General features: G+C 42.4%; 1 protein-coding gene and 1 long non-coding RNA gene across 3 annotated transcripts in view; one reads left to right on the top strand and one right to left on the bottom strand.

The window, feature by feature from the left end:
- Positions 1–8831, bottom strand: part of KLHL14 (kelch like family member 14) — a 100351-nt gene extending 91520 nt beyond the window's left edge. For both annotated transcript variants that reach the window (NM_020805.3, XM_047437684.1), the window contains exons 1-2: positions 8475–8831; positions 5453–6442 (exon numbers count right to left, since the gene is read on the bottom strand). In NM_020805.3, coding sequence (NP_065856.1) covers positions 5453–6399 — 947 coding nt within the window. In that variant the 5' untranslated portion in view covers positions 6400–6442; positions 8475–8831. The remainder of the gene's footprint in view (positions 1–5452; positions 6443–8474) is intronic.
- Positions 6484–9249, top strand: LOC105372055 (uncharacterized). The gene is made up of 2 exons (XR_935342.4): positions 6484–8095; positions 9123–9249. It is a non-coding gene; the product is annotated as an uncharacterized LOC105372055 (long non-coding RNA).

A 14846-nucleotide genomic window follows, 5' to 3' on the forward strand; every position in this document is an offset into this window, starting at 1 on the left:
GAAATGATTAAAATATCATATAAACAATATTTAAGCCTCTTCTGAATAATGATGACCATTCTACATTAGGAGGTTTTATATCCAGTATGCTTGAAAAAATGAGAAACTCATCCATTGTTTTAATTAATCACTATTTAGCTTCCGAGGATCACTATTCAAATCCTTAAGTCATATTCTGGATAAATTAACTTCTAACTTAGCACGGTAGAATTATTTAGACTTGAGTTCTTTCCAAATGGAAGGATGAAGACTAATGGGGATTTTTTCCACTAGAATAAGGGCAAATTGTTTTTGTCCATTTTCTTCACTGATATATCCCAAGTGCCTAGCCTAGTACATGGGTTGGCAAACCGTGGCTCACAGTATAAATCCAGTCCATGTTCTATTTTTATATTTTTGTATAGCCTGAAAACTAAGAGTGTCTTTTATGTTTGTAAGTGGTTGAAAAAATTAAAAGAATAATATTTCATGATGTGAAAATTACAGGAAATTTCAGTGCCCACAAATGCAGTTTTACTGTAACACAGCAATGCCCATTCATTTATGTACTGTCAGTTGCGTTTTTGCACTACAGGTGAAGAGTAGTGTAGTTGCAACAGAGACCTTGTGACCCCAAAGCCAAAAATAAACACTGTGTTGCTTTTTATAGAAAAAAATTGCTGACCCCTGGCCTGGAAAAACAACTCTCCTAATTTTTTTTTTAAGTCAGATACATTACTATTTAACCCTCACAAGTTTCTTTTTAAAAGAAAAGTCTTAAGTCTACATATAACTCTTCAGTCAATTAGTAGATTTCAGCCTGGCTAGCATTTGGGGAGTGATAGTAAAAAACAGCACACTGTGAATGACAACACAGACTTGCCACACTGCCTGGGTTCAGCTGTGCAATCATGGAGCAATGCTTAACTGCTCTGTGCATCAGTTTTTTATCTATATGAGGCTAATGATAGTACCCATACCTTGGGCTGTTATGAGAATTCAATTAAGTAATGTATGTGAAGTGCGTCAACATCACCTGTTACGCAGTAGCAGTTGTAAATAAGGTAACACATTTTTTACTGTTTTTTAAGTTAAGAAAATTGGGATGCTTAGAATTAGCTAAGGTAATGAGTGAACCTCATGTTCATAAAAATGGTAAAAATACAAGCATGAATTAAAACTGGAAAATGTCCACTTTTAACAGTAAGTCCTCTATTTCAATACAAGGCATTAGTATCCTTTTTAATTGCCTTCTGATTGTAGGATGTAACTATTTGACTCCCATATCGGTTGATGTAATTTTGTAATCAATGGTCCTGTTTCAGATAATAAACAAATTGTATTCTGAATGGTTGAATAATTTCTGATACAAAATTTAACTACCTAACAATTTTTAATCTGAGGGTATCAAATTGATATAAAGGGAAGTAACAATTTAGAGAATGCATGGATACAAGTTTAGTTTGCTTTGTTAAGGTTATTACTCAGTTCTTAGAAAGAGAACCAACAGAAAATATTGTCCTACATTTAATGAAACACTTTCTAAGCACCAAAACCAGGAATCAAAACTGTATATTAGGAAATGTAATGGCATTTTAATTATTGCAAGTCATTTTAGCAGATAGATAATTAGTACCCTTGATGTTTAAATAGATTTTTACATTAATTTATGAGAAATCTATAAATAGACTATGTTTTGTAGTAAATGAAATCTTAGGTAGTCTCCTGTTGTTTATAAAATATAATTTCTTTAAAACTACACTTCGATATGGAACCCTACATGGGACGTAATAGCTAGTTGTTAAATGTTTAAAAAATATGATTACTTTCATGAATGTATTTCTATTACAGGTGTTTTCTTGGAGAAGGTTCAGTAAACTTTTGTTATGTGCAATAGTAATGTAGATTAATGTATTGATGAAGTACAACATTGAGCCTTTCTTTTTTCATAATCTTAATTCATTCAACTTTTAATAAGCATTTATTCGTTATATTGTGTGAGGTGCAATGAAAATGTAAAACATTAGTTAATTTTATCCAGTTAATTAATATCTAATCCAATTTGATTTATTTGGGATAATTGCTAAATTATACATTAAAATTTCAAACTGTAAATAAAAAGAAACTATTTGGGTTACTTAAGCTAAATTTAGACTATGTCTTCTGTTATTTACATTTAATATACTAAACACTGCATATCATGTCGCTTTATGAAACTAAATTTTCATGCTTTAGATGATGTTAATATTGACTTGTAGAAAGATTAAATCAAGCTGATTTAATCTATCCATCACCTCACCTCTTTATCATTTCTTTGTGTTGAGAATGTTTCAAATCTACTATTTTGGCAATTTTGAAATATGTAATACTTTTTTACTAACTGTGGTCACGTTGCTGGTGCAATAGATCACTAAAACTTATTCTTCCCGTCTAACTGAAACTTTATATCCTTTGTCAATCCTGTCATCTTAAATTACTTATGTGTGTATTTGAATACAGAGTGACAAGTTTCTTATTTTACTTATTGTCCTTATGTTAAGTTTGGTAAAATGGAATATGAATTTAAGTGCAACTGGTATACTTAGAAAAACCAAGCAACAAGAGGGAACATTTTATATTAATTTGAGTATTTGTATAAAGATTTCATACTTGGGTTCCTTTACTTTTCTAGGCTTAATGAAAACTCAAAATTAATAATCTTTAAAATGCTTAAATTATGATTATATTAATATCTCTACTTTCTATAGATAATATACTCTTAAACAAGTAAATTCTCTTTTGAAGTTATTCTATTTGCTTATACTTTGTACTTATTCCAAAAGACTGGTCAATTTTACATTTTCATCTCCTTCTCTGAATTTAAGAAACTCTTTTATATTTAGAGTTTAAAAACTACAGGTGGATAAAAAGTAATAAATACAAGGTCCTTCTATTCAATTGTCTTCAATGAAAGTGATGTAATCTCAAAAACAATTGGTTAACACATTTATCCCCGTTAAATGACACATAAGGCTAAGGGAACATTTTTATATTACACTGATGCTATAATAAATGGGCTGATTTAATATTGTTGGTTGCAACTTACAGCATTTCTGTCTACTTTAAAGTTAGGAACTTCATGGTTATTTTGGCATTCTTCCTATGAATTACAATTAAAATAATGTAATTAGTCTGTAAAATTCAAAATGCTACCTTTACTAATAAAGGAATAAAACCTAAATTATATTACTTTGAGGTCAATGATAGGTTCGCATGAACTATTTGCTTTTCTATATCTTTCTCTTTTAAAAGAAAATACAGTTTTCTTCCTACTGCAGAAGTATCAGATTCTTGCAGCATCCATGACACTTGTAAGCATTCAGTGGTCAGACACCACTACATATCCTTCAAATGATGTGGCCCAGTGAAGCTGGAGGGTGTCGTCACGGAGCCAGGCAGCCTGGTATCTCAGCCATCCACCAGGACAGAGCCAGCAGGCACTAGCTGGTGTGCTGAATCTTGACTAAAGTGGGAAATGGATTTTGCATTTTGAAAGTCAACTCTTCTAACATTGAACCTTAGGACATACCTGTTAGATAAAAGTGCATTGAGGGCTTCAGAAATTTACTGGATCAAATTTATAAAGCTCCTCTGCCAAAATTACTCTTAGAATAAGTTAAATCTTAATTTTATTATTCCTCTGGGTTTCTGAATTTATACCGTGTTATACATATTTTTAAAAGTATGAGTAAATGTATGTTCAGAACTATAACTGTGTTGTCTGAATTATTGACTATGTGTGATATATGCTAAATGAAGTATACTTGTAGGTCATTTAAAAGTGACAAAAATTTAAATCACAGAATATTAATCACCAAGGCCCATCGCCCATCACACTGAGTTTGCCATTTGGATCTTTAGACAAACGAAAAATTCCAATAAAATAAAAATACGTTTCATGTTTTTTTCCTCATTGGCCTCTTGTGCTCACTGTTAAAAGCACACGGGGATTTGGATTCTTGTTTCTTCTATTGTCCTATTATCATCTTTTGACAACACGATTCGTTAACTCATCTCCCACAGATGTTAGAAAAATGAACTTACAGGGTTTTGTTACAAGTTCAAGATTTCTCATGCCTCCTGTTGGCCTCTCCTTAACACAAGAGCTGCCTAAAAAAGTGTAGAGAGTATCTTCCATTTCTTTAAACTTTAGTTACCTAGGTCTGGTGGAAACATAATGACACACACACACACACACACACACACACACACACACACACACCATTTAATTCTATAAGGCTGCACAAGGTGGGCCCCATTCTTTAGACATCATTCTGACTGGGAAAATGCCCTGCTAGATTTTCAAACCATGTACTTTGCTACACTTTGTAACACTTTGGTGGTTAGGCTGGAGTAGCCTGGCATCTGGAATCATGATGTTTTATCATGAGAAACTGAGAGGATACTGTTTCTCTTTTCTAAAAAGAGAAAGAAACCCTTTGCTAGGGCTCATTAAAAATGGTTTTAAAATTGGAGCCAATAAAACACGATTGTCAATTCCTACAGCCTTTTTATCTCAGCAGCATTTTTAAAAGGCATCATTTCTCTCTCCCCTGAAATCCTACTTGCAACACACACAGCCACATTTCTAACTAGCAACAACAGAGGCAGCAGCAACTCTCCAACTTCTTTGTCACTGGTGAGCAGGCACACAGACCAACTGGAGCTAGAAGCCTCTCCACTCCTCCATCCCAATTTTCAAGTGCACTCTTCTCAGAAATGGGAGTTGCTAGGCAAGATTCACCCCATCACCCTGAAATCTCTTGCTTTACTCTCCTTTAAAAGTGAAAAGGAAAGGCTTTCCACAACATAGAAAAGTTTGCCTGGGCACATGATACCAGCATTTCCAATAGTGACCCTAATAGACAAAGCATTTTGGAGTTCTGACATCGACAGGGAGCAGATCCCAGTCATGAAGAAACAACTTGAGTGTGTGACGGCAAGACCATGAAAGCCTTCCTTTGCAAGCATCGCCTGGGCTCTTCTGCTCACCCAAGGCAGAACTGAGGAGGGGTGGGGTGGGCATTCCTCACCACAGGATCCTTTTTCTTGAGCAAGCCCATCTTAAGATTTGTAGGGAGAGCTGGCTTAGAGAGACTTCCAAAGCTACACTTCTAACTGTCCTGGCCTTTGGCCCCATCTGCCTGTCAATTTCAGTCTGAGTCCACAATTCCCATGTTTACGGCTCTGGGGATATCTAGAACCTCGGCTTTGGAGCGCTCAGGGATGCTGCTAGGCCAGTTCCCTATTGACCTTTCAGGGACTCTGAAATCAACTTTCCTCACACACTCTGAATTGTTTGCGTTTGTTTTCATCCTGCCAGAGCCACCCGCCCAGGCCACCCATCTCTTCCCTCCTCCCTGCCCCCTCCCCTCCCTCCGGCCTCTCTGGCTCTACCCCCCCCTCCCCCGCCCTCCTCTTTGTTGTCTCCTACCTGCTGGCCAGGCTCTGCCTGCAGTGCTGCCTGAAGGGCATCAGGTGGTAGTTCATGGCGTCCAGCAGCAGCTTCTGGCAGACCGGGTCGGTTCGCATGAAATCCACTGACTGGACCCGCTCCACCAGCTCCGGGGCCGGGATGAGGGCGAAGCGGAGGCGCTTCATGAGGTCAGGCGCATACTGCATGCGGGTCTCGCGGTCGTGCTCCAGCCACAGCACGGACATCTGGAAGAGCGCCAGCTCCGACTCCACGGGGGGCGGCAGCGAGTCCAGCAGGGCGCGCATCTCCTCGAAGTTGAGCAGCAGCACATCCTCCACCAGGTACTTGTTGGCCAGCTTCTTGGTCTCCTCCAGGCCGTGCAGCGCGGCGATCTTGCACACCTGCTTGTAGTTCTGCACCGAGATCTGGTCGTTGAGGAACTGCACGCAGAGCTTGGTGACCTGGGGGATGTGCAGGATCTTGCTGACCGACAGCACCTCCTCCACCGTGTCCAGGGACAGGGTCACGTTGGCCGTGTAGAGGTACTCGAGCACCAGGCGCAGCCCGATGGACGAGCAGCCCTGCAGCACCAGGTTGTTGATGGCCCGGGGGCTGGTCAGCAGCTTGTCGTCGGGGGAGGAAGAAGGAGTCCCGGGCTCCTCCTGCGGCGGCGGCTGCTGCTGCTGTGACGGCTGCTGCTGCGGCGGCTGCTGCTGGTCCTTGGGGGCCCCCAGGCCGTCCTGGCCGCCGACCCCTCCCCCGAGAGGGGGGTGGCTGGAGAAGAGCGATCGGAAGTACTGCGAGCAGGAGGCCAGCACGGCCTTGTGGCAATGGAACTGCTGGCCCTGGGCCGTCAGGGTCACGTCGCAAAACAGCTGCTTCCTCCACAGCAGGTTGAGGCCGTGCAGCAGGTTGTCGCTGTGGCTGGGGTCGAAGGTGGAGGTCCTGTCCCCGGATCTGGACATGGCGAGCTGACTCGGTGCACCTGGCTTTAAACCCTCCTCCAACCTGGCAGACAGGGGTGGGGGATGGGAGGGAGGGGAGCAGGGTGGTGGAGCGGGTGGGGTGTGGTCGGGGTGGGGAAGGGTGTGGAGGGGAGGGGAGGGCGAAGAACAAGAATCAAGGCTCAGCTTGACTCCCTCCTGGCGCGCTCCGGACCCCGACCCTAGGAGGAAAGTCCGAAGACGCTGGATCCGTGAGCGCCACCAGAAGGGCCCTGTCTGGGGTCCCGGCGCCGGTTCTGCGCCCTGCGGCTCCTCTCGCCACCTCCCACACACTTCGTCCCTCACTTTCCTAAAACCAACCACCTCAGCTCGGCTGTTGGCAGCAACAGCAGTGGCAGCAGCGACGGCAAAGTGGCGGCTGAGGCCGAGGCACCTCGTGGGCTCGTGTCCATGCCGGGCCAGATGAAGGGAAAGGCCGGGAAGTGGGGAGCCGGGGGTGCCCTGAAAGCTCAGAGGCGACCGACGGCGAAGGTTCCAGGTCAACTTGTGCCCGAAGCTTTGCTTTTCGCAGTTGGCCCAGTTTGGGGGAGGGGGTAGGAACAGGGGCCCGACCAGCGTGCGGGGTGTGCGAATCTTAGCTCTCCAAAAGCTGGGACCCCCTTCGATTATCCATGCTGCCCCGAGAAACTCCTAGGCTAATAGTCTGAGGGAGGAGATAAAGCCCTTTCTTCTCCCGGGAAAGTGCAGCGGAGCGCGGTGAGGACCCGCTCAGTGGAATCGGCAGAGGCGGGAGCTGTCCTTATCAATTCGAGCTCATTTCCCTCAACCTGGCCCTGCCCGCTTCCCCGCTTCGCAAACTGTTGGCTTCCCCGTCACCACTCAGTTTGGCTAATTTTCCAGAGATGGCTTTAAACCTGGCAGGAGAATCCTTCCACCACCGCCACCCCCACCCGGTGGCCCCCTCTCCCCCGTCTCGCTCATTTCAAAGCGCGGAAGTTCAGGCATCAATCTCCCCTTCCAGCGAGGGGCGGCACCGAGGACTCAGGGGGAGGAAGTGGGGCTGCGAGGACGCGTTTGGAGAGGGAGCCGGGAGGCCTGGAGGCCGGGAGGGATTCGTGTGCACGGTTTCCCCTCCCGGGCACCAGGCGCAGTCGCTTTAACTCCAGTAACTATGAGAAGTTCAAGTTAGAAGGCAGGTGTTGGGGGAGGGGTGGGGGCTGTCGAACGAGCGGGGGGGCGGGGGAGCAGTGGGGTGCGGGGTCTCTGCGCCCCACCCAGCATCGTCGCCTGCAGCCGCAGCTCCCTTCTGACCCCCTCGGTAGAGCCCCCAGCGGCCCCCCACTCGGGCACCCCCACTTCCCCGGCCCTGGAACTACTTCTGTAAAAAGTCTGAGCCGCCCGCATCTAGGCAGAGGAGGGCAGGGTGGGGGAGGCGAGGCGAAATCGATACGCCAGGTCCTTAACCTGTAATTGCACCTTCCAGGGCTGAGCAGAAAGGGACCCTCTGCTTGCATCCCGCCCGCGCGCCGGCCCGCCGGCCCGCCGGCCCGCCCGCCCGGGGGAGAGCCGCCGCCGCCGCCCGGCTCGGAGGGATCCCGGCGGACCTGCCCCTTCCACTGCGGCTCACTCTGCCCTGCCTGGCGCCGGTCCTGGATCGCCGGCTTCCTATTTATACCGGACTGGGCTCCTTTCGACTCACTTTACCATCCCGTTCCAGGTGGACCCTACCCTCCCTCGCGCTCCCTCCGCCGGCAGCACCCCCACGCCCGCCCCCAAAGCTCTGGCTTGCCTGAAACATCTTACAGAGTCTCTCTCCCTTTAAGAGGACCCGGTCATACCTCTCTCTAGCTCTCTCCGCTTCGTTGTCTCCCCCCGCCCCATCTTTTCCTATTCCCCTTCCTTCTTGTTCTTCTCCCTTGCCTTTCCTCCTCATCTGCTTATTTCTTGCAATAGGAGTTTTTTCTTTATGAGCGTTTGCCATACAACTACCCCCCCGCCAACCCCTCTGAAAGACTCCCTCCCCGGCCCTTCCCCCTCCAACAATCCAAAAGACAGAACAAAATACACACAAGGCAGACACAAGGCCAGAAACTTACCTGTTCTCAACCAGCTGCAAAGTCAAGGCTCACTTAAGCTCCCCCCAAAAATCAATTGTCCTTCCTTTTTAAAGGTTTGCTGTCTCCTTGGGAGGGGGAAAACACCTTCTGGTTCCCAACTCCAGGCAGTCACTCTTTACAATTTATTTTGTCGTACATCATTTGATCACCATGAATTAGCAACAGCAAGAAAATGTAGGAGAGGGAGAAAAGAGAGAAAGAGAGAGGGAGAGAGAGAGGGAGCAGAGCTTTCTGCAAGAGAAGAAGAAGAAAAAATGTACGTGTGACAAATTATGCTACCAAGAAACAACACATCATTATCCTTGGGCCTGGGGCTCAGTGAGTCGTAACGAGAGTAATAGGAAATCCACGGTTGGGGAGAGAAACGGTCGTGCTTGGCCAGTAGAGAGAGACCATACAGGGGGATGGATGCTGGAGAGACTCGCAAAATTATGGCTCAAGGCTATTGTAAAAATTGTCGAGCGTAAATGACTGCGATTTCAAACATCTTTGGAAGAAAGAAGGGGAAAAAGCGAGCCCCCCCTCCCTCCCTCTCCCTCTCTCTCCCTCTCTCTTCTCTCTCTCTATAAAGAACCGTCAAGTTTTAGTGCGCATTGCTAATTAGTCAATTTCTCTCTGCCTTCACAGGCTGGCGACTTCGCTGCTGAGCTGAAACTGCTAATTTCTGTGACCAGCTTTTTTCTTAGCTGTGATCTGGATGAATGAGTAGCTGTCTCACAGAGATGACAAAAATAAACTCTAATCCCCCCCAAAATTTCCACTACATCTTTCTCATGCATAGATTTATGATCTTCAAGTGCTCTGTGCAATATGCAAACTTTTTTTGTGTCTGTATATATGCTGTTGTTTCCAGATTTCACTACATTGGTATGCTGCTTTTCCCTTCCCCCCACACCTCCCCCCCACCCCCAGCACTGTGAAATGCAGAAACAGTCTGATCTCAAAGTATGCTAAGACACTACTTTATTCTGTTTTGGTATTTGGGGTTTGGGTCTGTCCTGAAAGACACTAGCCCTTGCCTAAAAGGTGAGTGGCTGAGGATACACACCGGGGTGGGGGAGTAGAGCTGGTAGACAGAATAGAGGACAGCCCTTTGCTTTACATTTGCTTCCCACAAGGCACTGTTCAAGGTTTATGATCTTATTTGAAAACATATTTTCTCTATCATTTTGTCTGGTTAAACAACTGCCTCTGAACTTCTCTGTCAGCTCTTCAACAGATAAGGGTGCAGAAGTCACGTTTTTTTTTTTTTTTTTTTTTTACTGAAAGATTATCATATTGTTGGATTTGTATTTCAATTAGGAGTCTTTGATTTGCAGGAGCTAGAATCAAGTGCTAGGAAACCCAGCCGCAATTTCACAAATGTAACCTTTCAACTTTAGAGCTCATCTGATATATAAGGGCAACCACATAGTGCTCACATTTTTGACCCTGCTTAGCATGCAAAAGGAACCCCAGCATGTTTCTGGAATTTTAGCTGTACCAGAGATTCATGTGCATTTTGGTAGAGGACATGTTCTCCAGACTTATCTCATGATGTATTGCACCCTTATGTTTATAGCCCTGCATTTCGGTTGTCAATGGGGGTTGGAGGTGTCCAAGAAAGAAAGAAAAAAAAGAAGCAGAAAAAGGAAGGTATGCCCTTGAGTAAAATGAACACGAAGAAAGCTGGACATGAACTAAATTGAGCTTTGTTTGCTATTAACTATATGACTATGATTCATTCTAATTTATATGTGCTCTGATTAGTAAACTTATTAAAATACGTATCAGGGCACCATTGCAAGACATCTATTCAGACCCCCCATCATCCTCTTTGATTTGTGAGAGATGGAAAGACACCTGCTTAGGAAAGGGAGGAAAATTAAAAATTCTGAGGTTCAGAAATAGGGATTCCCCATTTACAATGATAACATTAACGTGCACATGGGATAGTCACACTTAAATGAATTAAGAAGGATCAAACTGAAGCATTTAACCCTCACAAAGCCCCCCCACTTTTTTTGTCAAGGTTCTAGATTATCTGAGAGTAAGACTTCTTTATTCAGATCCTGTTGAGATGCTGCATTCTCATATTTATGTTTATAGTGGAAATGCCCCAATACATGATTAAATCATAGAAAAGAATTTTGCTGTTGTTGTTGTTTAGGGCAGAGGAGAGAAAGACAACAGATTATACAATTCTCCTGGCCCTATTATTGTTTTGATTTTTGTTTAAATTTCCCTTATTTGGGTGTTGAACAGGAAGATCATGTGACTCTAAGATAGAACATTTTTGGAGTTCTGTGTCACTAGCAATTAAAGCTATCAAGTATGTGGAGTGTCACAAAACTCTCATACATGTAAAGTGCAATTTTTATATTATGATTTTGATGTTGATCTTTTATGAACTTCTCATGAAGTATTTGGAACTAAGCCCAAAGGCAATAATAGTATTGATCACTTAAATTATGGCCACCTTCCTGTTTTATCTTGAAAGAATTAAAGTATGTTTGTAGGCCTCAAAATAACTTAGTTTCAAATTTCTATTTTTTTATGGATAGGATATATTGACCACTAATTATGATTACCAGGCTCTTTATTGCTTCCAAACAATATAAAAGCCACATTTCAAAAATTTTAGCTACCTATAATTTTAATGCTTATTTAACAACTAGGGTGGAAAGGGAAGAGAGTGGGATTGGGAGCTGGCAATTCTAAAATGGCTGTTGAAGTGGATAAAAACATTTTCTTCTGCATTCTAAAGTTATCTGATAATGTTTAAATTTCAGAAAAAAATACAATTCTGGTTATTGTATAAGCAATTAAAAAAGAATATTGATAAAGGGTCCCTTCATAATCTGTGCATAAACTAGCATATATGTCATGTAAATCTCACACCTCCAGTATCTTATACTGGCTTTGACTGAAATTATTGCAGAACTCACAAATGAGACGACACTATTTACAATAAATCTCGTTATGAAAGATTCAATTTGCAGCAATCAGATGCTAGCTACTAAGCGATTTTAAGTATTTGAATTTTATCCTACTTCAGTGTTCAACATACAGAAATTGCATCTGTGTGTTTGATCTGTCCTGCTGAGCGCTATCAGCAGCTTGCATCTCTGCCACTATTGTTTTTAAAATGGCAGGAAGGACGTGACTAGTCAGGAGCACTCAGCAGGATGGATTTCACGTGGCATAAGAGGAGCCAGAATTGTCTTTTTTAAAAAAAAATTAAATATGATTGTGTAGTCATCTAATGCAAGCCATCTTCATACTTCGATAGAATTATCAAAATTATTCATTAGTGAATTTGCATTTAAACCATGTACAATGGAAAGATTCTGAAACTATGGCCACTGAGCAGTCTACTAGAGCTGCCATTAGTTTCTAGTGGTCTGGTCAGCCTTCAAGGTGGCAGAGATCCAGGCCTATCAGTGGTTCCAGTTGCTCAGGATCATCTCACTGGACTGGAGGAACTGAAGATTATCTTTAGAGCAGTTCTAGAAATGTTTTGCTGCTTAACATATAGGGGCAGCCACACTGAATCTTTATTTTCCTTATTCTTGACTTTTCTGCTTAGGATTTATGAGTTATCACCAAATTGCATAAACATCAGAGCCTGGTCTCCCCTGTGTCTTTTGGATAGTAAACACTATTTCAATGTGATCTGACCTTTAAGATTACTGTCATTGTGGAATGGATGTATAAGGGAAGAAATTATTCCATTTTACACATGGAATAAAATTGAGTAAAGAGGGATCACATAGCTCCTTCAAAGTTAGGGAGTGGCAAAACCCAGGCACAACTCAAGATTTCTAGTTTTTTTTTTTTTTTTAAATCTTGAGTAGATGGGTCAAAGATATCACAGAACCATCAGCACTGAGAAGCTTATTAAAGAACACAAAATCTGAAATAACAATAAGAAATGGTGCTATTGGCTAACATTTAGGCAAAAGCCAATGGTTTGCTATTGCTCTGCTGTCAAGCCCAACTCTGTGGCTCACATTCCGGGTTCCCAGTATTTAGCTCTAGCTCCTCTGGGCAGCCTGTTCTGGACACGCTCCACTGTTAAACTGCAGCACCTATTGTTAGGCTGTGTCTTTTTGAGAGGCCTTCATTCTCTACAAATAGAAATTCCACTTACCTCTCAAGAGTAAACTCAGATTTCTTTCCACTATAAAACTTTTCCTGGCAACCTCTAACAGAATAATAATGGCTACTACTTATTGAGTTTATTACTGCATGGTGGACACTGTTCCAAATCCTTCAGATGTTTTATTTTCTTAATCCTCTTGCTAATCCTATGGAAGACTATGGCAGATTGCAAAAATACCTCCATGTCTCCACCCTTCCTGGTATACACACTACATTATAATATGGCTTTGCTGCTCTTCTCATCAAGAGTGGAATCGACTTACCTAATCCTTGAATGTGAGCTGGCCTTGTAACTTGCTTTGACCAATGGAATGTGCCAGAAGCGACCTTGTGCCAATTCTGAGTCTAAGCTTCAAGAGGCCTTGTGTGTTTCAACTCTCCCTCTTAGAGCCCTGCCAGATACCATGTGATGAAGCCCAGGCTAGCCTGGTAGAAGATGACACATCACATGGACAAAACATTCCCCAGATTGCCCAATAGCTGAACTCAGATGCATGAATGAGCCCAGCTGAGACAGGAGAACCAACATGCTCCAAATGACAGATCCACAGAACCCTGAGCTACATCAATGGCTGCTGTTTCAAGTCATTAGCTTTTGGGGTGATTTGTTCCATAGCCAAATTAGCTGCTGAAGAAAGGTACAATTATTATCATTTTACCAATGAGCAAAATGAAATGCAGAGAAATCACGTAAATTTTTCAGAATCACACAACTTTTCAAAAGTAGTGCTTAGGTTCAAACCAACACAGCCTGACTCCAGGGATTTACCATTCTACTGTACTGGCCACAAAAGAAATGCCTGCCTCTAGGAAACATTTGTTTATTTATTCATGCATTCATTCATTCATCAAGTATATATTAAGTATCTATTGAACACCAAACACTGTGCTAAACATCAAGGAAACAATGATGAATAAAACTGCATTCTTGTCCTCAAGAGGCTTACACTCCAGTAGAAGAGACAAGCTGGTAAATTAGCTTCAGCAAGTGAATAATTATACTTGATAATTGCTCTGATACGGGTATGTATAAGGACTTACTGAAGCAGAAAGAAGCTCGCCTCTTAACTTCCTCAGAGTACATATTGTCTGTAACACTCTTTCAACATTTATTATTTACTGCTTTGTTAATTGCTTATTCAGGGAAATCTGTTATCATCTTAACTAGATTATAAGCATCCAGGGGAGAAAAAGCTCTCTGTCTGGTAAAAATCTCCCATAGTACGTAGCTTTGTGCTTTGCCCATAGTAGTTATTCAATAAATATATTGATGGACTATTAAAGGTGAATTTTCAAATGTATCAGAGAAAGAGCAGAGAGAACAAGGGAAGAATTTAACAATCAGAGACTGTCAGGTATTTGACTAAACTGGTATTAGTCAATCTCCAGATTATACTGATCTACTGTCTTAAAATTAATAAAATCTTTATTCTATTGTGAAATTACTGCTCACAGCACATAGCTAAGAGTTTGATGGGACCTTAGTAAGTGCTTCCTCCAAACATTTTACCTATAGCCACAATCACCCAGCAAAGCTCTCCAAAACTTTGAAGAGAGTAGTTGCTTTAATAGTAATTAAACTACTCAACAAAGGTAGCACAGAGCTGCAATTCTGTGCATGAATTCTGGAGGCAGATTCCCTGGAATTGAATCCTTGTTCTGCCACTTTCTATCGGTGTGACCTTGGGCAAGTAACCTCCCTGTGCCTGCTTTCTTCATTTGAGAATGGGATAATTGTAGAACCTATCTCAACGGATCTTACGGTGTTTAAATTTTTGTAAATATTTGTAAGTCCTTAAAACAGTACCAGACACATAGTGAATGCTTTGTGAACATTTGTTAAATAAAAAGTAGACAGATGTAGCTAGAGAATTCTCTTCCTAGTTTTCCTTTTTTTTCTTTTCTACAGATTATGCCTAGTGCTCAACAAATATTGGATGATGAAAAGAATACATCTACTTTTCTTAGGGTTGTAAGGATTCATGATACTACTCAAGAGGCAACTGGTCACTTTAATGAAAGTACCACTATTTTTGGCTTTGCTCTCTAGATATCGTATATCTATATATGTTGTTTACCTGTAGTTTTAAAAACCACCACCCTTTTCCCGCTGGGGACATTGGTGTTTCACACATGTCTTGAGTAATTAAGATTTTTAAAAATTAAGGATATTTCGCCTTTCTGGGAGTGTGATCTCCCTATGAGAAT

The sequence above is a fragment of the Homo sapiens genome, chromosome 18, assembly GCF_000001405.40.
Source record: "Homo sapiens chromosome 18, GRCh38.p14 Primary Assembly".
Taxonomy (NCBI): Eukaryota; Metazoa; Chordata; class Mammalia; order Primates; family Hominidae; genus Homo; species Homo sapiens.